The following is a 21,854-nucleotide window of genomic DNA, read 5'->3' as shown; positions in this document are numbered from 1 at the left end:
GCTGTATAGTTCCCCATCAGAGTCACCATAACTTCTTTCATTTACCTCTCTCGTCTCTTTTAGATAAGCTGCTTGGGCAAGACAATGGTGAACAAAGTGGCTAGAGTAGCCACCTTTTATCATTACCATAAGATGACCTTGAGAATGAAGGTCACCCAGAATAGCCACATAATTGCAAGGATATCTGCCCGTCATCAGTGATTCATGGGGGTTTATTCTTTTTCATTTCCTTAGTCTTCCCCAAACACCATGTCCTGGCAAACTCTATTGTCTCTATACTGTGGGTGCCCCTAGTCCAGAGCACCTTCTTCCTCAGTCCCTGACTGACAAATAAATAAAAGTGCCGCTGCATTCATGAAACATTTAAAGCTTGCCCCTTGCAGAAATACATCTCCTCCTCCTATGAGGACCCACTTACATAAAATAATGTACTCAATGCCTTACATAAAATAACAAAATGTGCTAACATCTGTTTACAGTATTGTTCTGTTTATATATCTCTTTTACATATACTAAAGCCCTTGATCCTGATTTTTAATAGGTATTATACCTATTGTACAGATGAGAATACTAAAGGGGAGAGTTTTTGTGATTTTTTTTAAAGATCACTGGCAATGTAATAATTATCCTTAGTCATAACCTTGCTGTAAAACAGTGGAAGAAGGAGGTTTGAAGTTTGGGATGGGGCATATCTGGAACTCCACTCCACTAATCCATTCATTAATGGCATTGTCTATGGCCTTGATCCCTATAGAAAGAATGGATTTATAACAATAGAATTTAGTAGAAAGAATGAAATAAACTCACACAACCCTGGGCTCAAATCTGGATTAGCTAAGCAAGTGACAACATCTCTGAGGCTGTTTCTACTCTGTATTTTGAAGATTTTAATAACAATGGCCTAGACTGCTAATTTTCCCTCAGTATCTATTTTCTTCTTTCTTCTTAGAAAATCACTAGCCAGAATGAAGAGTACATTTTCCAGGTACTCTTAAAGCCTTTGACTAAGTGTTGGCTAGTGATATTCATGCTGAAGTGTCATAGGTCCTTACTTGGAAAATGTTTTTAATTTTTTTTTTTTATTTTTTGTAGGCTTAGTAGGTACAGGTACTATTTTGTTACATAGATGTTCTGCATAGTGGTAAAGTCTGGGCTTTTGGTATAGCCATTATCTGAATAGTACACATTGTACCTGTTAAGTAATTCCTTATTCCTCGCCCCTCTCCCACCCTTCTGAGTCTCCAGTGTCTATTATTCCACACTCTATGTCCATATGTACACATTATTTAGCTGCCACTTATAAGTAAGAACATGTGGCATTTGACTTTGTGTTTCTGAGTTATTTCACTTTAGATAGGCTTAAGTTCATCCACATTGCTGCATGATTTTATTCTTTTTTTTGTGGCCAAGTAGTAGTACATCGTATATATGTATATACTACATTTTCCTCATCCAATCATCCATTAATGGACACTTAGGTTGATGCCATATCTTTGATATTATGAATAGTCCTGTGATAAACATACAGGTGCAGGTATCTTTTTGATATTGCGATTTCTTTTCCTTTGGGATATACCCAGTAGTAGGATAGCTGGATCAAATGGTGGATCTGCTTTTAGTTCTTTGGGAAATCTCCATACTGGTTTCCATAGAGTTGGCACTAATGTACGTTCCTACCAACAGTGTATAAACAATTTGCTTTTTTCCACATCCTCACCAACATCTATTATTTTTCTTGACTTTTTAATAGCTGTTCTGACTGGTTTAAGATGGTATCTCATTGTGGTTTTAACTTGCATTTCTCTGATGATTAGTTATGTTGAGGATTTTTTCATGTGTTTCTTGGCCATTTTTATGTCTTCCTTTAAAAAATGTCTGTTTGTGCCCTTTGTTCATTTTTCAGTGGTATGGTTTGGTTTTTGCTGTTGAATTGAGTTCCTTGTAGGTTCCGGATATTAGTCTTTCATTGAATATATAGTTTGCAAATATTTTCTCCCAATATGCAGGTGGCATTTTACTCTGTTGATTTTTATTTAAGTCTATTTTTTTAAATTTGCTTTTGAGGTCTTAGTCATGAATTCTTTACCTAGGCCTATGTCTAGAAGAATTTTTCCTAGGCTTTTTCCTAGTATTTTTTATAGTTTTGGGACTTACATTTAAGTCTTTAATCCATCTTGAGTTAAATTTTATGTATGGTAAGAGGTAGGGTTTTAGTTTCACTCCACTTGGCGAGCTAATTTTCTCAGCACCATTCATTGAATAGCGTGTTCTTTCCCCAGTGTGTTTTTGTCAACTTTGTCAAAGATGAGTTGTCTGTAGGTATTTGGATTTATTTCTAGGTTTTCTATTCTGTTCCATTAATCTATGTCTATTTTTATAATGGTACCTTGCTGTTTTGATTATTATAACCTTGTAGTATAATTTGAAATCAGTTAATGTAATGTTTCCAGCTTTGTTCTTTTTTCTTAGGATTACCTTGATTATTTGGGCTCTTTTTTGGTTCCATATGAAATTTAGTGCTTTTTTTTTCTCTCTAATTCTGTGAAAAATGACATTGGGATTTTGATATTCATTTCATTGTACCTATTAATTGCTTTGAGTGTATGGTCATTTTAACAATATTGATTCTTCTAGTCCATGAGCATGGAATGTTCTTCCATTTGTATGTATCACCCACAATTTCTTTCATCAGCGTTTTGTAGTTTTCCTTGTGAAGATCTTTTACCTTCTTGGTTAAATATATTCCTAGGTGTTGTTGTTGTTGTTGTATTGTTGTTATAGCTATTGTAAATGGGATTCACTTCTTAATTTGGTTCTCACCTTGCTTATTTTTGATGTATAGAAATGCTGCTTATTAAAGGCATCCAAACTGGCAAAAAGGAAGTCAAATTATCTCTGTTTGCTAATGATATGATCTTATACGTAGAAAACCCCAAGAACTCCCCAAAAGACTTCTAGATTTGATAAATAAATTTTGTAAGTTTATTTATCAAATTTATTTATTTATTAGTTTTTTTTTTTTTTAAAAAAAAAAAAACAAGTGGATCACACCCTTTACCTTTATTGTTGGTCCTTATGTTGCCCTGCTGGCTGGAACGTGGGCATAGTGGCTGTCAGCCAAACAATAATTTTGAACTCTGAAGATATCTTGGGAATAAACTTCACATTCAGAGGAGCTTGGGTTCTTGAAAATGGTTTGGAACACAGTCAGTATATAAGCTTATTTTCTGTCTTGGAACTTACAAAGACAGAGCAGTAAACTTTTGCATAAGCCACTGTTACATTTTGAGTCTCCCTTACCTTTAGCCCAACCTCACCTTAACCATACACCATTCTTAGAGTCATAGTGAGTATTAGATATATTGTGTTCAATGTTCCTGACACATGGTGGACATCAAATAAATACTAGTTGTTAGTAATATCACCTTACCTCTCACATATACGTATTTAGTAAGTTATTGAGAATTGTACTAAATAAAATTTATATTCCAGTGTAAACCTTGGCTGAAAAAAAATACTCTTGGGTTATTCTTAATGGAAAGATAAAAAGATAGTTTAGGAACCTTAGTGTAAGTTCTGCCTGAAACCAAAGCTGGTCCTGCGATAAGCCAGCTTCTAGGACTTGCTCTGCATTAGTGGCAGCTTTGAGTCTTCTCCCTAACCTAAGTGACTTAATATGGAAACAGAAAGCTTGAGTTCAGACCCTAAGTGTTCTACCATGCTTTGGTTTCATAGTCATACAGAACTCTCAATAATCTGACTATCCGGATAAGCCAATAAAAGAAAAGCTGAGAAATAAGAAGTCATAATGGGGCCAAATGTATTGGAAAGTAGGGGTGGCATTTATATGAGTAGGGTTTTCTGAAGTTTCAAGTGCAACCATTTATTTTCATCATCTCTAGTTAGTGCACAGATCCTACTACTTCAAAAAGAAGGTATTCAACTTCACTATTTAAACGTCTCATTCTGATTTGTTCTATTAATACCCCATTTTAGAAGGCTGCTAGTATGATAGAATGTGAAATATACATTTATTGAGTGCCCACCTGTCACGTGTTTTACATATGGTATATCCTTAATCCAGTCCTCATTGTATCATTGTAAATTAAATATTATTGTCCCCATTAGGAAGATTGGAAGAATGGAAACCAGGAGTGGTAAGCAAGTCATCCAAGGTCATAGAGTGAGTAAACAGCAGAACTGGGATTCACACCAATTCTGACTATATCTCCTGTGCTCTTTAATGATACCAGATTTAAATAACCATATTCTCTTTCCCTTGAGTCAGTTTGAATTCCCACCCTAGCTATGACTAAGATGGGAAAGAATTGACATTCTGATCCTCTCCCAACCCTGAGGGCACTGGCTCTGCCCTTTCTGGTAACCCCAACAATTCTGGATCCTAGCTAAGCTACCCACCCTAACTTAGATGGTTTGATGGGCCTGTGGCAAGGTTGGCATTCAGGAGCTGCATCATGCCCATTTGCTATCCCTGCTTTGGTAAGAGCATTGCAGCTGCTGCATAATGACAGTCCATAGGACTGCCACTCAGCACCCCTACTATGAGTGTGGGAAGGCTCAGGCAGATAGTGTGAGAAAAGCAATGCCAGGTTAGTTCTTCCAAGGACATATGAGGCAAATTACATGGCTAACCGGTTTTCTTAAAAAAGAAAAGCTCATAGTCTGTCACTTCCAAGGGGCTGACAGGCTGTTTCTGAGCCTATGCCTGAAGATTGAGCATCTGAGTTCTCATGACGAACTCATGGTAAAATGTCTACAATTTATTTTGGAGCAATATGATAGATTGCGATAATGGACACATTTCTTTCCACATCTCACCATGTTCATGCCCTTTTGCATATAACTCTGCAGCACCTCCCATCAAGACATGCAGTCTTTCCCCCAGTCTTTGGATCTGGGTTGGTCTGGTGATGTGCTTTGACCAATGATGTGGCAGAAGCTGTGAGATGCCAGTTCCAAGTCTTTTCCCACTCACTTTTGGGACTTTGCCTGGTTCTGATGTAAATAAACAAGCTGGGGCTAGCCTGCCGGAGGATACAAAACTGTGGAGCAGACAAACAATTGCAACCAAAGCTATTCTGGGTCAGAAGAACTCCCAGCCTGCAGCTGAAGGGGCAACTCATGAGCCATGTTAAGCTGTTACTGTTCTAAGCTGGAGCTTAAACATTGACAGAATGTTTAAAATGATTAAATCACTGTGACAATAATAAAAACAGTGATAAAATTAATCACTGAACATTGAGAAAGCTGATTATGAGGCAACAGCCGATAGAGACATGTCAATGAAAATGGTTTTAAAATAGAAAAAGCTTGTGAAACAGTCTGTTAAGTGCCAGATACTGGGACAGCTACTTGGATACTTTTTCTCATTTCATCTTTACATCCATAAAAGCTGTCATTTTACTGAACTCAGTACCAAATACTGTGCCATTAAATATTATGTCATAAAATTTAATTCCTATTATGTCTACTATATGAGTTATGAGAGATGTCTTATTATTTCCATTTTATAGGTAAAGAAACTGAGTCTCAGGGAGGTTAGGTGAATTGACTAAGCCCTAGGTTACCAGCTGGAAAGTGGCAAAGCTAAGCTTTCATCTCCGATCTGAATCTTACACCTGTGTTTTTATTAAATCCTTGAGTTTCCACTTTCTCAACTAGCTTTCATGGGAGGTACTTTTATACTCTATTTTTAGAGGATAACTTGGAGTTTTATGGACATTAAATAACTTGTCTAAGAACAACCAATTAATAAGTGGAAGACTTGAGTTTTAAACCTAGGACTCATTGACCCCACACTTGCTATAAGCACTCTGTTAAGTGCCAGGTACTGGGCTAGGTACATTTCACTGACATTCATTGTTAAGAAATATATCCTAAATGGAGAAGAACATGTTTTTATCTGTGCTAGGATCATGTTATTTCTTTGTTTTAGAAACATGTTCTGTTCTGTTTGAGTGTTTTAGAAGCCCATGTTTTCCAAACCCCAAACTGTAACAGAAAGCAGGCTGTAAAGGAACTGGTGAAAGTTATTGCCCAGAAAAACCAGCTGGGAAGCATTTCAGTGTCAATCTTATTATTGCTTTTAAATTAGCAGTAACTTCAAAAGCCTTTGAAGTAGCTGGCAGGGATTGTCTGAACTGAGGAAAACAATCACAACAGGGTATTCTCAGCAGGCATGTGCTTTATAAATGTTCCTTCTCTTTATGCCTTGGCACTGCAAAAGGTTAGAAAGGAGGTGCAGGGATTGTAGCAGGGAGCTTCTAGCTGACGTGGATTGCCAGGAAGACCCAATTAGCCTGTCCCTCTCAGTAGCTGAAGTTCCAGCAGAGGGAATAAATTATCTGTGGCAGTGGCCAAAGCTGCTGACAACTTCAGAGACCACCTGTGTGGTCTTCCCAAGTCAAGGCCCTGACTTGCAGGCCCTGAGAAACTCTAACCTCAGGAGCCTGATGAATTCCAATCCAATAGTACAACTAAGTTAAACTGAACGGTGTTTTTCAACACACCTGAAAAGTCAGGTGTTCCCTATCTCCCACACTGAATCCCCTATCTGAAGATATCCAATGGCCATCCTCCAAGTCTAAGTTTAGAGCTTACTTCATCTTTGAAAGCTCTGACATGTCCTAGGATTTCTCTCTTCAAATAGAGCTCACTCATATTTCTCTCCATCCATCCATCCATCCATCCATCCATCCATCCATCCATCCATCCACCCACCCATCCATCTAGCATTGAACGACTTCCCACTCTATGCCTAATGTTACCAGGCCTTGCAGAAACCACTGATTCTAAAGTGGACAAGGTCACCCTCCTCCGCATGATGCATTAGTTTTGTGAAGAGTGTAGAGACCACCCAATGGGCACACCAAGTATGCACCCGAGACACAAACAAAACAGGGACACCAAGAAATTGTTTGGAAAAAATATGACATTTTTTTGCACATACAAAAAAAACTGGCGTATCAACATCAGAAAAATCACAACTAGCTTGAACTTCCATACACATATTTATATGTTAGGGTGATTTTACATTGAATTCCATATCAGAAGAGGAATCACAGTCTTTCCAAGGCTTGAGGTCTCAAAAGGACAGCCTTCATCCTTGTAAACAGCAGAACATAAGCATTTAGCCAAGTTACCTGATAAAGAATTACTTGTGAGCTGTGGAATGAAGAAGAGTGTGTGTGTGCATGTGTGTGTGCATCTGCGCATAGGTATGCATGTGTGTGTACATGTGCATGCATGGATATGTGTGTACAAGTGTGTGCTTGTGTGGTCAGGGAAGCCTAGTGGAGAATAAATCAATCATTCTCTTCTATGTGCTTTTGTAGTACCAGGGTCATATTCCTAGTCTAGCTTCTGCTTAAATTAATCATCTATGTGTTCATTTGTAGCAGATGCTGCGGGGTCTTACCCATACTATATCCTCTTGGCACTCACCATTCTAGTGCATGCCTACAGTATCCTACTCCAAGCACCTGCAGCTTTCAGTCTGAGAGAATTTTCTGCATCACAGACAGGGAAACCAAAAGTGCAAGGGGATTATGGTACCTGGGAGCAGCCCTCACCTCAACCAATTATGGATGTGAGTTAGATGATAAGACTCTGGACTTCCCCCTTGCTATTCTCATGATAGTGAGTGAGTTCTCATGAGATCTGGTTGTTTGAAACTGTGAAACTGTGTAGAACTTCTTCCTTCACTCTCCCTCTCACTCCTGCTCCACCATGTGAAGAAGGTGCTTGCTTCCCCTTTGCCCTTCTGCCATGATCATAAGTTTCCTAAGGCCTCCCCAGCCATGCTTCCTGTACAGTCTGTAGAACTGTGAGTCAATTAAACCTCTTTTCTTCATGAGCCTATCTCATCACCCCTTGGGCAGGGTCCCTTGGAGGTATGTTCTACAACATGTTCCAGGGTTGCCCAGGTAAAACTGAGCTCTGCACTAACCGGCATGAAGGCATACCCTCTATTAGCTTCCTTCCCTGCCCAATCTGACTCTGCTACTCACACACTTGTGCCAGTTGTCCTGGGATTGCTTACAAACAGACCTCTTGCACACCCATTCTGGTCTCAGTCTACCTCCAGGGGAATCAAACCTAAGACAACAACTCTCCTCTCAAGGCAAAGCTGGATCTGACACAAATCCTGGCACACAGACTTAATAAATGTCCAGCAAATAAATTAGTGAATAAATAAATGGACAATGAAATGTGAGTGACTGATAGCAGTTTTCCCCCTATTTTTTCTTTAATCAAAGCCAAATAAATCCGTAATAATAACATTTTGGAAGAGAAAATATAATTTCCTTGGAAAGTAACTGGTGGGTGATTTGGACTCTGTGGCATGGGAGGCAGCAAGGCTGGCCTTAGAGGAACGAGTGAAGCTGCATTGATGTTCTCTCCCTCTCTTCCCTACCCTGGCTTCTCCTCCCCTATGGTACCTACAACGATGCAAATAACAACCTGCCTTCCCTTAGTGGCAGTTTTGATTAGATTCAAAGATTTCATGGAGGATATATCTCAAGATAAAGACTAAGGAGATTTGCCAAATCCTTTTTAGTTCTCAGAAAAGTGATGCTGTCTATATATTTATTCAGTTCATTTGTCTGTAAATGTATGCATTCAGTAATTTACTTACTTATAAATTTGGTCATACTGTAATTGATTCATACACTCCTTCCCTAGCTGACTCAAACAATTTTGCACAGAGGAGCTGATCCTTAGGCACATGGTCCCTAGACACCAAATGCCTGGGTTAGGATCCTGGCTGGTAGGCTATCTGAGCTTCAGTCTCTTCATATGTAAAATGGAGATAGAGAGTATCCCCTTGCTGAGAAAGTGAAGTGATTAGCAGTGTATGTATAGCACTCAGAACAGTGGCAGCACATAATCAGTGTCAGGGAAGCAATCAGCTTCATCCTGTTGTTTGAATTAAGCCATCTGTGCTGAGTATTGCTCACTCCTTCATTTTCTGTTTCACTTCCTTTATTTCTAGTTTTCTTCTCCACAACAGAAAGACCACATCAAAGTGGAAGAACTTAGTGTCCCAACTTCCAAATGAGTCCTGAAGTTTTAACTTTCACAGGCTCTATCCTGACTATTGCCAAAAGTTGAAAAAACTGCCAAGTGGATAAAATGTGTCTATTGTACTTTTTCAACTCCATTTGGGGGCTGCTTGTGCAGAACCTTCAAGCCACACTGCTATGATTTGGCTCTGTGTCCCCACCCAAATCTCATATTGAATTCTAATCCCCGATATTAGGGGAGGGACCTGGTGGGAGGTGATTGGATCATGGGGTGGACATCCCCCTTGCTGCTCTCCTGATAGTGAATGAGTTCTCATGAGATCTGGTTGTTTGAAACTGTGTAGCACTTCTCCCTTCTCTTTCTCTCTCTCTCTCTTCCCCCTGGTCCTCGACCACCATGTGAAGAAGGTGCTTGCTTCCCCTTCACCCTTCTGCCATGGTCATATATTTCTGTCTCTCCAGCCATGCTTCCTGTACAACCTGTGGAACTGTCAGTCAGTTAAACCTCTTTTCTTCATAAATTACCCAGTCTCAGGTAGCTCTTTGTGACAGCGTGAGAACAGATTAATACACAAACTTTATCTGTTTCAGGTTTTCCTTCCCTCTTTTGATTCCTAATAGTTCCAGCTTCATTTCTGCTTCTTCTATCAAACCAACACTTTCTGCTGGGTGTGAGGGGATTCGCCCAGAACAACAATTGACACAAGGAGTGAAAGATGCTTTAGTTTCAAGGAGTATTTCATTTTGGAGGCTCCAATATTTAGACTGTGCAAAAGAAGACAATAGATACTAGGTAGTCATCAAACAATTTCTGTCACAGTTGATCCTTTAGCTGCCTAACCTCCAAACCTACTTTTTTTTTTTTGACAGAGTCTCACTCTGTTGCCCAGCCTGGAGTGCAGTAGCACGATCTCGGCTCACTGCAATCTCCGCCTCCTGGGTTCAAGTGATTCTTCTGCCTCAGCTTCCTGAGTAGCTGAGACTACAGGTGCACACCACCACACCCAGCTAATTTTTGTATTTTTAGTACAGACAGGGTTTCACCATATTGGCCAGGCTGGTCTCGAACTCCTGACCTCGTGGTCCACCCACCTCAGCCTCCCAAAATGCTGGGATTACAGGCATGAGCCACCACGCCCAGCACAAACCTACATTTTTTTTTATATTTAGAATATAATCCCCATCCAAGGAAGAGGACCTTGGTATCTCCAGGTGCTTTATTTGCTGAAAGTCTAGGATCTTGGAAGATGTGCAGTTCTCTTCACCAGGTCTGATTTTATCTCCTTAAACCCCAGTGACCTACACACTGACACAACCTATCTCCTTCTCACTCCTTGTCCACCAGCAACCAGCAGTGAAGCAGAAACAGCATTCCTGCAGAAAGAACCTCCACTCAGTAAAGGAGAGGGTTGGACAAACCCAACAGCCACAAGTCCATAACAAATAACAACTCTCGTGGGGCAGTTTCTTGCTTAATAACTTAGAAGGTTCCTGTTCCATATGCTTCTGGAAAGTTCCACATATAAGTGACCACAGCCCCAAATCTTGTCCAGCTAGAGATTTTAAACCTGACGGCTCTTGAATTTCAATCAGAGACCTCTGTGATCTGTCCATTCTTCTCCCCTAGCTTGATGGCCATCTGAAACAATAGGCTTTGGTCAGGAAGCAATTCACTTATTTTCATTTCACCAGCAAGTTTATTTGATGCTAAGCCTGCAGCTGCTGATAACAGATTCAGGTTAGACTATAATCTTTCTAGACCTCCAATTATGGCCTCTTAGGGAGCCTAGATTTTAGTCTGCAGACAAAGCAAAGCTTCATTTCTTGCTATTCTTTTTGTAAATGGATAGGTGGTGTTTGACTTTATTTTTTGTGAATCTTTGTTGAAAGTGGCAGACAGTGTTATCACATATCAACTATGGTAAGCAACTATGATGGTCCCTAATGATCCCTACCTTCTGGAATTTACTTGTGTAATCTACACCCCTTGAATGTGGGCTGAATTTACTGATACACTTCACAACACAACAGGGTGATAAATACAACTTGTGAGATTAAGATTTGGGTATACTTTCTCTCTTATCCTATCACTTGCTCTCTCAGGAAAACCAACTTCCATGTTGTGAGTTGTTCTCTGGAGAGATCCACATGGCAAGAAATTGAAGGAGGCCTTTGATTGAAGAACTGAATCTTGCCAACTACATCAGTGAGCTTGTAAGTGGATCTCCTTCCGTTGAGTCTTCAGATGATACTGTTGCCACAGGAAAAATCTTGATTACAATTCTAAAAGAAATCTTAATCCAGAGAGAACCAGCTAAATTGTGCTTAGATTCTTGACCCACAGGAACTGTCAGATAATAAATGCTTTGCTGTGTTAAACTGCTAAGTTTGGGGGGTAATTTTTATGCAGTGATAGATAACTAATATATCAACATTCTTGACTTTTCCTTTCCTCTCTCCTAATGGTATAGCCTAAGTGAGTGTGTGGTCTGTGTTCCAACTTCTGTTAGTCAATAGATTGGCAAACTGTTTTGCTATCATATAGCATGGGACTTCAGCTTTTCTACCTGCAATATCCTAGTCCACAATATTTGCCTTTAGGACTTTATGCAATGAGGTAATACTGTATTTTAGATTTCATTTCTCATAGTACCTCTCTTGCAAGAAATAAATGCTACATCATTTAATATTAGGTTCAGCTGCATCTGACAGAAACTCTAAAAATTCAGTAGAATACACAAGAAAGAAGTTTATTTCAGTATCATATAAAAGAAGCCTACCAGTAGATAGCCTAGGACTCCTTTGGCTTTAGTGGTACGGTATTCAATGGTGTCCCAATCTCTTTTCTTTCTTCTCCTGGAGTTTGGCATCCATCATCAAGACCACCTCATGGTCAAAAATGACTGCTTTGGCTAAATCCATCATATCCTCATTCCAAGCCACAGAGGATGAAGCAGGTAAATCACCCTGGCAGAGTCAGCGCCCTTGAAGGACTCTTCTCAGATGTGTTTTCCATAAGTATTTGTATAATAGACAAAACATATTTAGAAAACAGGAGGGCTTCTAAGTCATCTACTCCAATATTTCCCCAACTTCAGAAATTTTCATTCTACCTTTATGATTTTGCTATATTTGATGCTATCCATCAAAGTGATTACTTTATATTGAATCATAGAGTGAAAAATTATTTCCTTACATTTACATAGCATCTGTACTGTCTTTATATAATGTGTTTTTCAATCAAGTTACTTTTTAAAACTTAAATGACTATGTCTAAAATAAAAGCAATATATTGTTATCTTCAATTAAAAAGTAAAACTTTACATAGAAATTATGAAAAAAAGTAAAATGAAACAAATTTATACAATTATACACAAATACCAAGTTAGCCAAAAACTTTGAGCAAGCCACTGGTCTCATATTTTCTTTATTAAAAGTGAAGATTATCAAGTTCCACATGGCGGCTACCTCCTGAAAGAACCAGAAGGATTGTAAAGAGAATTACTTTCTTACTACACTATTAATTATAATTTATTTAATGTCCTGTCTGTATACCACCTAAATTGCCTCAATTTTACTAGAGATTTATGCTCCATACTTGGGACGCTCTGTTGGATTCCTGTGACCTTGTGAGGAAACCAATTTTCTAGAGACTCCATGTGATTCTCTGGTTGCTCCTTGGTTATTTGTAATATTTGTGAAAATTTTACTGTCTGATACCAGAGTCAGATGTTTCAGGGTCTGTATTCACCTCCTAGACTGAGATCTCAGAAGACTAACCCTGACTGATTTTTGTCTGTAGGGCAAGACCCAGGGCCTTCCCCCCAGAATCAATACATTCTGTTGGTTGGAACAAATGCAATTGTTAAGGACACACAGCTCTGTACAAAGATGAAACTGAGGCCCACATCTTCTGTGTCCTCATTCATGGTGCTTTCCAAGACACGTTTTTAGAGAGAGGTCAATTTGATTCCAGGAACAGAGATAAAAGGGATTTTAAAAAGTGCTGCATTTTTATTTTTAAAGCTCAAGGTTACTCATGCATTTTTAATGATAAACTTCTGTATATATAATAATAGGTTAAAAATCAATGACTCAAAATGTAAATCTCTGGCAAAGTTAGTTTGATCATACCACTGTTTTTGATGATGACAGTAGTAATAAGAATAGCTGCTATTTATTGAGCATTTTCTGTGTTCTAGGAACAACTGTGAGCACTGGAACTTTCTCATGAGCCAGGTACAATTACTCTTTCCATTTTATTCACAGGAAACTGAGGCACATGTAAGACACATAGCCAGCAGGCGTTGGGACAGTTTGCACAAGACTTACCTATTTCTTGGCTTCACTTGGTTTTTTGTTTCAGGGGCTGCTATAGCAATAAGCTCAGCGTGAGTTCCACTTACTTCAGGCAGAGGTGACTTGACACCACCTCACCCAGCCACCCTATGCCTGCTGCCTTCTGTCCTGCGGCTTCTCTGTGACCCCAACTGCACAGTACCTTTAGTCACCTGTGCATACCCAGCCCACAAGAACTGGAGAATTAATGCTCCATGGGATGAATCTTTGATCGGTAGGAGGTAGAATCAGGTATACTGATTGTTACCCTGGGCAGGCTATGCAATCATACATTTTATATATATTCTTGAAGAACAGTCCTACAGAATCAAGCAACAAGTTGTGCCTTGTGGCAGCCAAATTGATAATGCATCTTTTTATTTCAACCTATGTTCCTATTTCGTCTTCCTTTTCCCTCACTTCTACTCTCTGGGATACATAATAAAGAACTATCATATAGGATCTTACCTGGGGCTCTGTTTTCCAAACTGAGGCTATAACAGCCTATGTTTTTCTGATTCCTAAGTCCATTCCTAGGACACTGTGCTGTATTTGTTCTAGGCACAAATCTTCAGGATGGTCTGACTCCCTGATGAGACACTAATGGCCTTTTGGAATTTTGATCATCTACCCCTTCCCTCTTCCCATTCCTTACCTCAAATCCTGATCTTTGAGTCCTGTTAATTAAGGAGCTACTGCCAACTCTGGTTTTAGCCCTCAAAGACACTTGTCTCTTTGTTGGAGAATGCTTCCTGTTTTCTTCTTCTCTATTCCTTTCTGCTTCCTTTCCAAGCTAACTCCTACTCACCTTCCAAAATTCAGTCCTCAGGACCTTTTCTGATGCTGCTGTTCCCACTACCCTCAGCTTCTGTTCCCTGTACCTTACCCTGATGTTCTCCCTTGCATGTTGCCATCAGTTTCTGTGTTCCCTTCGAGGACAGGCGTTGTGTCCCACTGATATCTCTATCCTGAATGTGAGTATGGGGCCTGCCTCAGAGTGTCCACTAAGTGAGTGATGGCGGAGGGGCTAGTTGACGATGGCCCCAGATTCCAGTCCTTCCCTGACACTGACTGTCATGGGCTTCTGAGCAAGTCACTTAACAGCTCTGAGCCTCAATTCCTAATCTGTAAAAAGGAAAGACTTATAATAGCTTCAATATAAGGTTCTTCTATAGACTAAATTACATAAAACTACAAAACTGCAAAATTATGAAAAAATTATATTGCCTTTAGTAAGAGATAAGTTATTGGCTGCTCTTATCAATAATAAATTAATTTTATTATTCCTTCCAAAAGAGTAGGGATGAAGCCAGAAGTCATTGGGGGCACTCATTAAAACTGTGCTTAAAACTAGACTAATTCTCACCTAGGTTTAAACACAGGTTTATTGAGTGCCCCTAATGTTTAGGGATTCCTGGGGCTTTCTTCAGACCCCACAGGCTTATAGACAAAGCGAGCCTATTCCCTTTTACTGGGCACCCCCATGCGCAAGGAACTGCACACTGGGCTGGGGCTTTTGACATGGTAAGAATTGTTGCCTGTTCTCAGCGAGTTCATAGTCTAGCAAAGCTAAGACATTAAGCCTGCAACCTTTTATCATGACCACCTTCTCTCCTATTTTGAGGATAAATGTGTTTATTTCTTCAGCAAAATATTTGTTGTACAAATACTATATCCCCAGCCCTGTCTAGGTGTCAGGGATACTGCAGTGAATTTATACTTTGTTTTTTTTTTCTTTTATCCGTAAACTTCTTTTTTTTTTTTTTTTTTATTATACTCTAAGTTTTAGGGTACATGTGCACATTGTGCAGGTTAGTTACATATGTATACATGTGCCATGCTGGTGCGCTGCACCCACTAATGTGTCATCTAGCATTAGGTATATCTCCCAATGCTATCCCTCCCCCCTCCCCCGACCCCACCACAGTCCCCAGAGTGTGATATTCCCCTTCCTGTGTCCATGTGATCTCATTGTTCAGTTCCCACCTATGAGTGAGAATATGCGGTGTTTGGTTTTTTGTTCTTGCGATAGTTTACTGAGAATGATGGTTTCCAATTTCATCCATGTCCCTACAAAGGATATGAACTCATCATTTTTTATGGCTGCATAGTATTCCATGGTGTATATGTGCCACATTTTCTTAATCCAGTCTATGATTGTTGGACATTTGGGTTGGTTCCAAGTCTTTGCTATTGTGAATAGTGCCGCAATAAACATACGTGTGCATGTGTCTTTATAGCAGCATGATTTATACTCATTTGGGTATATACCCAGTAATGGGATGGCTGGGTCAAATGGTATTTCTAGTTCTAGATCCCTGAGGAATCGCCACACTGACTTCCACAATGGTTGAACTAGTTTACAGTCCCACCAACAGTGTAAAAGTGTTCCTATTTCTCCGCATCCTCTCCAGCACCTGTTGTTTCCTGACTTTTTAATGATAGCCATTCTAACTGGTGTGAGATGATATCTCATAGTGGTTTTGATTTGCATTTCTCTGATGGCCAGTGATGATGAGCATTTCTTCATGTGTTTTTTGGCTGCATAAATGTCTTCTTTTGAGAAGTGTCTGTTCATGTCCTTCGCCCACTTTTTGATGGGGTTGTTTGTTTTTTTCTTGTAAATTTGTTTGAGTTCATTGTAGATTCCGGATATTAGCCCTTTGTCAGATGAGTAGGTTGCGAAAATTTTCTCCCATGTTGTAGGTTGCCTGTTCACTCTGATGGTAGTTTCTTTTGCTGTGCAGAAGCTCTTTAGTTTAATTAGATCCCATTTGTCAATTTTGTCTTTTGTTGCCATTGCTTTTGGTGTTTTGGACATGAAGTCCTTGCCCACGCCTATGTCCTGAATGGTAATGCCTAGGTTTTCTTCTAGGGTTTTTATGGTTTTAGGTTTAACGTTTAAATCTTTAATCCATCATGAATTGATTTTTGTATAAGGTGTAAGGAAGGGATCCAGTTTCAGCTTTCTACATATGGCTAGCCAGTTTTCCCAGCACCATTTATTAAATAGGGAATCCTTTCCCCATTGCTTGTTTTTCTCAGGTTTGTCAAAGATCAGATAGTTGTAGATATGCGGCATTATTTCTGAGGGCTCTGTTCTGTTCCATTGATCTATATCTCTGTTTTGGTACCAGTACCATGCTGTTTTGGTTACTGTAGCCTTGTAGTATAGTTTGAAGTCAGGTAGTGTGATGCCTCCAGCTTTGTTCTTTTGGCTTAGAATTGACTTGGCAATGCGGGCTCTTTTGTGGTTCCATATGAACTTTAAAGTAGTTTTTTCCAATTCTGTGAAGAAAGTCATTGGTAGCTTGATGGGGATGGCATTGAATCTGTAAATTACCTTGGGCAGTATGGCCATTTTCACGATATTGATTCTTCCTACCCATGAGCATGGAATGTTCTTCCATTTGTTTGTGTCCTCTTTTATTTCCTTGAGCAGTGGTTTGTAGTTCTCCTTGAAGAGGTCCTTCACATCCCTTGTAAGTTGGATTCCTAGGTATTTTATTCTCTTTGAAGCAATTGTGAATGGGAGTTCACCCATGATTTGGCTCTCTGTTTGTCTGTTGTTGGTGTATAAGAATGCTTGTGATTTTTGTACATTGATTTTGTATCCTGAGACTTTGCTGAAGTTGCTTATCAGCTTAAGGAGATTTTGGGCTGAGACGATGGGGTTTTCTAGATAAACAATCATGTCGTCTGCAAACAGGGACAATTTGACTTCCTCTTTTCCTAATTGAATACCCTTTATTTCCTTCTCCTGCCTGATTGCCCTGGCCAGAACTTCCAACACTATGTTGAATAGGAGCGGTGAGAGAGGGCATCCCTGTCTTGTGCCAGTTTTCAAAGGGAATGCTTCCAGTTTTTGCCCATTCAGTATGATATTGGCTGTGGGTTTGTCATAGATAGCTCTTATTATTTTGAAATATGTCCCATCAATACCTAATTTATTGAGAGTTTTTAGCATGAAGGGTTGTTGAATTTTGTCAAAGGCTTTTTCTGCATCTATTGAGATAATCATGTGGTTTTTGTCTTTGGCTCTGTTTGTATGCTGGATTACATTTATTGATTTGCGTATATTGAACCAGCCTTGCATCCCAGGGATGAAGCCCACTTGATCATGGTGGATAAGCTTTTTGATGTGCTGCTGGATTCGGTTTGCCAGTATTTTATTGAGGATTTTTGCATCAATGTTCATCAAGGATATTGGTCTAAAATTCTCTTTTTTGGTTGTGTCTCTGCCCGGCTTTGGTATCAGAATGATGCTGGCCTCATAAAATGAGTTGGGGAGGATTCCCTCTTTTTCTATTGATTGGAATAGTTTCAGAAGGAATGGTACCAGTTCCTCCTTGTACCTCTGGTAGAATTCGGCTGTCAATCCATCTGGTCCTGGACTCTTTTTGGTTGGTAAACTATTGATTATTGCCACAATTTCAGAGCCTGTTATTGGTCTATTCAGAGATTCAACTTCTTCCTGGTTTAGTCTTGGGAGAGTGTATGTGTCGAGGAATGTATCCATTTCTTCTAGATTTTCTAGTTTATTTGCGTAGAGGTGTTTGTAGTATTCTCTGATGGTAGTTTGTATTTCTGTGGGATCAGTGGTGATATCCCCTTTATCATTTTTTATTGTGTCTATTTGATTCTTCTCTCTTTTTTTCTTTATTAGTCTTGCTAGCGGTCTATCAATTTTGTTGATCCTTTCAAAAAACCAGCTCCTGGATTCATTGATTTTTTGAAGGGTTTTTTGTGTCTCTATTTCCTTCAGCTCTGCTCTGATTTTAGTTATTTCTTGCCTTCTGGTAGCTTTTGAATGTGTTTGCTCTTGCTTTTCTAGTTCTTTTAATTGTGATGTTAGGGTGTCAATTTTGGATCTTTCCTGCTTTCTCTTGTAGGCATTTAGTGCTATAAATTTCCCTCTACACACTGCTTTGAATGCGTCCCAGAGATTCTGGTATGTGGTGTCTTTGTTCTCGTTGGTTTCAAAGAACATCTTTATTTCTGCCTTCATTTCGTTATGTACCCAGTAGTCATTCAGGAGCAGGTTGTTCAGTTTCCATGTAGTTGAGTGGCTTTGAGTGAGATTCTTAATCCTGAGTTCTAGTTTGATTGCACTGTGGTCTGAGAGATAGTTTGTTATAATTTCTGTTCTTTTACATTTGCTGAGGAGAGCTTTACTTCCAACTATGTGGTCAATTTTGGAATAGGTGTGGTGTGGTGCTGAAAAAAATGTATATTCTGTTGATTTGGGGTGGAGAGTTCTGTAGATGTCTATTAGGTCTGCTTGGTGCAGAGCTGAGTTCAATTCCTGGGTATCCTTGTTGACTTTCTGTCTCGTTGATCTGTCTAATGTTGACAGTGGGGTGTTAAAGTCTCCCATTATTAATGTGTGGCAGTCTAAGTCTCTTTGTAGGTCACTGAGGACTTGCTTTATGAATCTGGGTGCTCCTGTATTGGGTGCATAAATATTTAGGATAGTTAGCTCCTCTTGTTGAATTGATCCCTTTACCATTATGTAATGGCCTTCTTTGTCTCTTTTGATCTTTGTTGGTTTAAAGTCTGTTTTATCAGAGACTAGGATTGCAACCCCTGCCTTTTTTTGTTTTCCATTGGCTTGGTAGATCTTCCTCCATCCTTTTATTTTGAGCCTATGTGTGTCTCTGCACGTGAGATGGGTTTCCTGAATACAGCACACTGATGGGTCTTGACTCTTTATCCAATTTGCCAGTCTGTGTCTTTTAATTGGAGCATTTAGTCCATTTACATTTAAAGTTAATATTGTTATGTGTGAATTTGATCCTGTCATTATGATGTTAGCTGGTGATTTTGCTCATTAGTTGATGCAGTTTCTTCCTAGTCTCGATGGTCTTTACATTTTGGCATGATTTTGCAGCGGCTGGTACTGGTTGTTCCTTTCCATGTTTAGCGCTTCCTTCAGGAGCTCTTTTAGGGCAGGCCTGGTGGTGACAAAATCTCTCAGCATTTGCTTGTCTATAAAGTATTTTATTTCTCCTTCACTTATGAAGCTTAGTTTGGCTGGATATGAAATTCTGGGTTGAAAATTCTTTTCTTTAAGAATGTTGAATATTGGCCCCCACTCTCTTCTGGCTTGTAGGGTTTCTGCCGAGAGATCCGCTGTTAGTCTGATGGGCTTTCCTTTGAGGGTAACCCGACCTTTCTCTCTGGCTGCCCTTAACATTTTTTCCTTCATTTCAACTTTGGTGAATCTGACAATTATGTGTCTTGGAGTTGCTCTTCTCGAGGAGTATCTTTGTGGCGTTCTCTGTATTTCCTGAATCTGAACGTTGGCCTGCCTTGCTAGATTGGGGAAGTTCTCCTGGATAATATCCTGCAGAGTGTTTTCCAACTTGGTTCCATTCTCCACATCACTTTCAGGTACACCAATCAGACGTAGATTTGGTCTTTTCACATAGTCCCATATTTCTTGGAGGCTTTGCTCATTTCTTTTTATTCTTTTTTCTCTAAACTTCCCTTCTCGCTTCATTTCATTCATTTCATCTTCCATCGCTGATACCCTTTCTTCCAGTTGATCGCATCGGCTCCTGAGGCTTCTGCATTCTTCACGTTGTTCTCGAGCCTTGGTTTTCAGCTCCATCAGCTCCTTTAAGCACTTCTCTGTATTGGTTATTCTAGTTATACATTCTTCTAAATTTTTTTCAAAGTTTTCAACTTCTTTGCCTTTGGTTTGAATGTCCTCCCGTAGCTCAGAGTAATTTGATCGTCTGAAGCCTTCTTCTCTCAGCTCGTCAAAATCATTCTCCATCCAGCTTTGTTCTGTTGCTGGTGAGGAACTGCGTTCCTTTGGAGGAGGAGAGGCGTTCTGCTTTTTAGAGTTTCCAGTTTTTCTGTTCTGTTTTTTCCCCATCTTTGTGGTTTTATCTACTTTTGGTCTTTGATGATGGTGATGTACAGATGGGTTTTCGGTGTAGATGTCCTTTCTGGTTGTTAGTTTTCCTTCTAACAGACGGGACCCTCAGCTGCAGGTCTGTTGGAATACCCTGCCGTGTGAGGTGTCAGTGTGCCCCTGCTGGGGGGTGCCTCCCAGTTAGGCTGCTCGGGGGTCAGGGGTCAGGGACCCACTTGAGGAGGCAGTCTGCCCGTTCTCAGATCTCCAGCTGTGTGCTGGGAGAACCACTGCTCTCTTCAAAGCTGTCAGACAGGGACACTTAAGTCTGCAGAGGTTACTGCTGTCTTTTTGTTTGTCTGTGCCCTGCCCCCAGAGGTGGAGCCTACAGAGGCAGGCAGGCCTCCTTGAGCTGTGGTGGGCTCCACCCAGTTCGAGCTTCCAGGCTGCTTTGTTTACCTAAGCAAGCCTGGGCAATGGCGGGCGCCCCTCCCCCAGCCTCGTTGCCGCCTTGCAGTTTGATCTCAGACTGCTGTGCTAGCAATCAGCGAGATTCCGTGGGCGTAGGACCCTCTGAGCCAGGTGTGGGATATAGTCTCGTGGTGCGCCGTTTCTTAAGCCGGTCTGAAAAGCGCAATATTCGGGTGGGAGTGACCCGATTTTCCAGGTGCGTCCGTCACCCCTTTCTTTGACTCGGAAAGGGAACTCCCTGACCCCTTGCGCTTCCCAGGTGAGGCAATGGCTCGCCCTGCTTCGGCTCGTGCATGGTGCGCGCACACACTGGCCTGCGCCCACTGTCTGGCACTCCCTAGTGAGATGAACCCGGTACCTCAGATGTTAATGCAGAAATCACCCATCTTCTGCGTCGCTCACGCTGGGAGCTGTAGACCGGAGCTGTTCCTATTCGGCCATCTTGGCTCCTCCCATCTATACTTTGATCATTTGAAATTCGTCCACACTGGGAAAGACAGACCAAAAGCTTACAAAGAAACACACAATCAAGATGAAAAAAAAGTAGAAGCCTAAACAGTGGACAAGAGAATTTTAGCAATATACATCAGATTGTGCAAAGGTATGGAGGAGAGAGTCCAGGGAAGAAAAATGGGCAAGGCTGGAAGGACAGGCTGGGGACAGAATGTCAATGGTTGTCTTGTTTGTGAGGAGTCTTTTCCATCACAGAAACCCAACTGGAGGTGGTTTAGGTGGAATGGAGATGGACTTGTGTGGCAAAGCATGAGTTGGGCCAAAAAAGATGGCCCCAGAGCAACTGGACCCAAACTTAAAGACCTCACTTCTCTCTTCTGCCTCTAGCTTTCTATCTTCGCTTTCCTGAGACTCTGTTTCTCTCTCTCTCTCTGTTTGTGTGTGTGTGTGTGTGTGTGTGTGTGTATGTGTATGTGTGTTTTCTTATTGCCAAGATGGAATATGGAATTCCTATGCGGTAAAAAACAATCATAGATATGTCTAGAATTATTTATTTCCAGCCTAATGACTTGAAATAAAGAGAAACTTTATTGTTTTTTTAAAAAATAAACCCCAGGGAAGACTGATTGGCCTTATTTGGGTCAGTGATCTTCCTGGATTACCAACCACAGTGACCAGGGTTG

At 40.3% G+C, this 21,854-nt stretch overlaps 1 long non-coding RNA gene across 1 annotated transcript in view, besides 2 other annotated features; it reads left to right on the top strand.

The window, feature by feature from the left end:
* The window catches only part of LINC00504 (long intergenic non-protein coding RNA 504), a 417,705-nt gene that overhangs the window by 111,883 nt on the left and 283,968 nt on the right, over window positions 1-21,854 (top strand). The window lies entirely within an intron of this gene.
* Window positions 7,445-7,494: an enhancer, noted in NCBI's record as "active region_21331". NCBI's record gives its function as "activates an Ori minimal core promoter by ATAC-STARR-seq in GM12878 lymphoblastoid cells {active_cell/tissue: GM12878}" and the evidence as "EXISTENCE:reporter gene assay evidence [ECO:0000049][PMID:35858748]".
* Window positions 7,535-7,754: an enhancer, noted in NCBI's record as "active region_21330". NCBI's record gives its function as "activates an Ori minimal core promoter by ATAC-STARR-seq in GM12878 lymphoblastoid cells {active_cell/tissue: GM12878}" and the evidence as "EXISTENCE:reporter gene assay evidence [ECO:0000049][PMID:35858748]".

Source organism: Homo sapiens, chromosome 4 (assembly GCF_000001405.40).
Source record: "Homo sapiens chromosome 4, GRCh38.p14 Primary Assembly".
Lineage (NCBI taxonomy): Eukaryota > Metazoa > Chordata > Mammalia > Primates > Hominidae > Homo > Homo sapiens.
The sequence above is the reverse complement of the archived record's forward strand: the minus strand, read 5'-3'. Positions and strand labels throughout refer to the sequence as shown.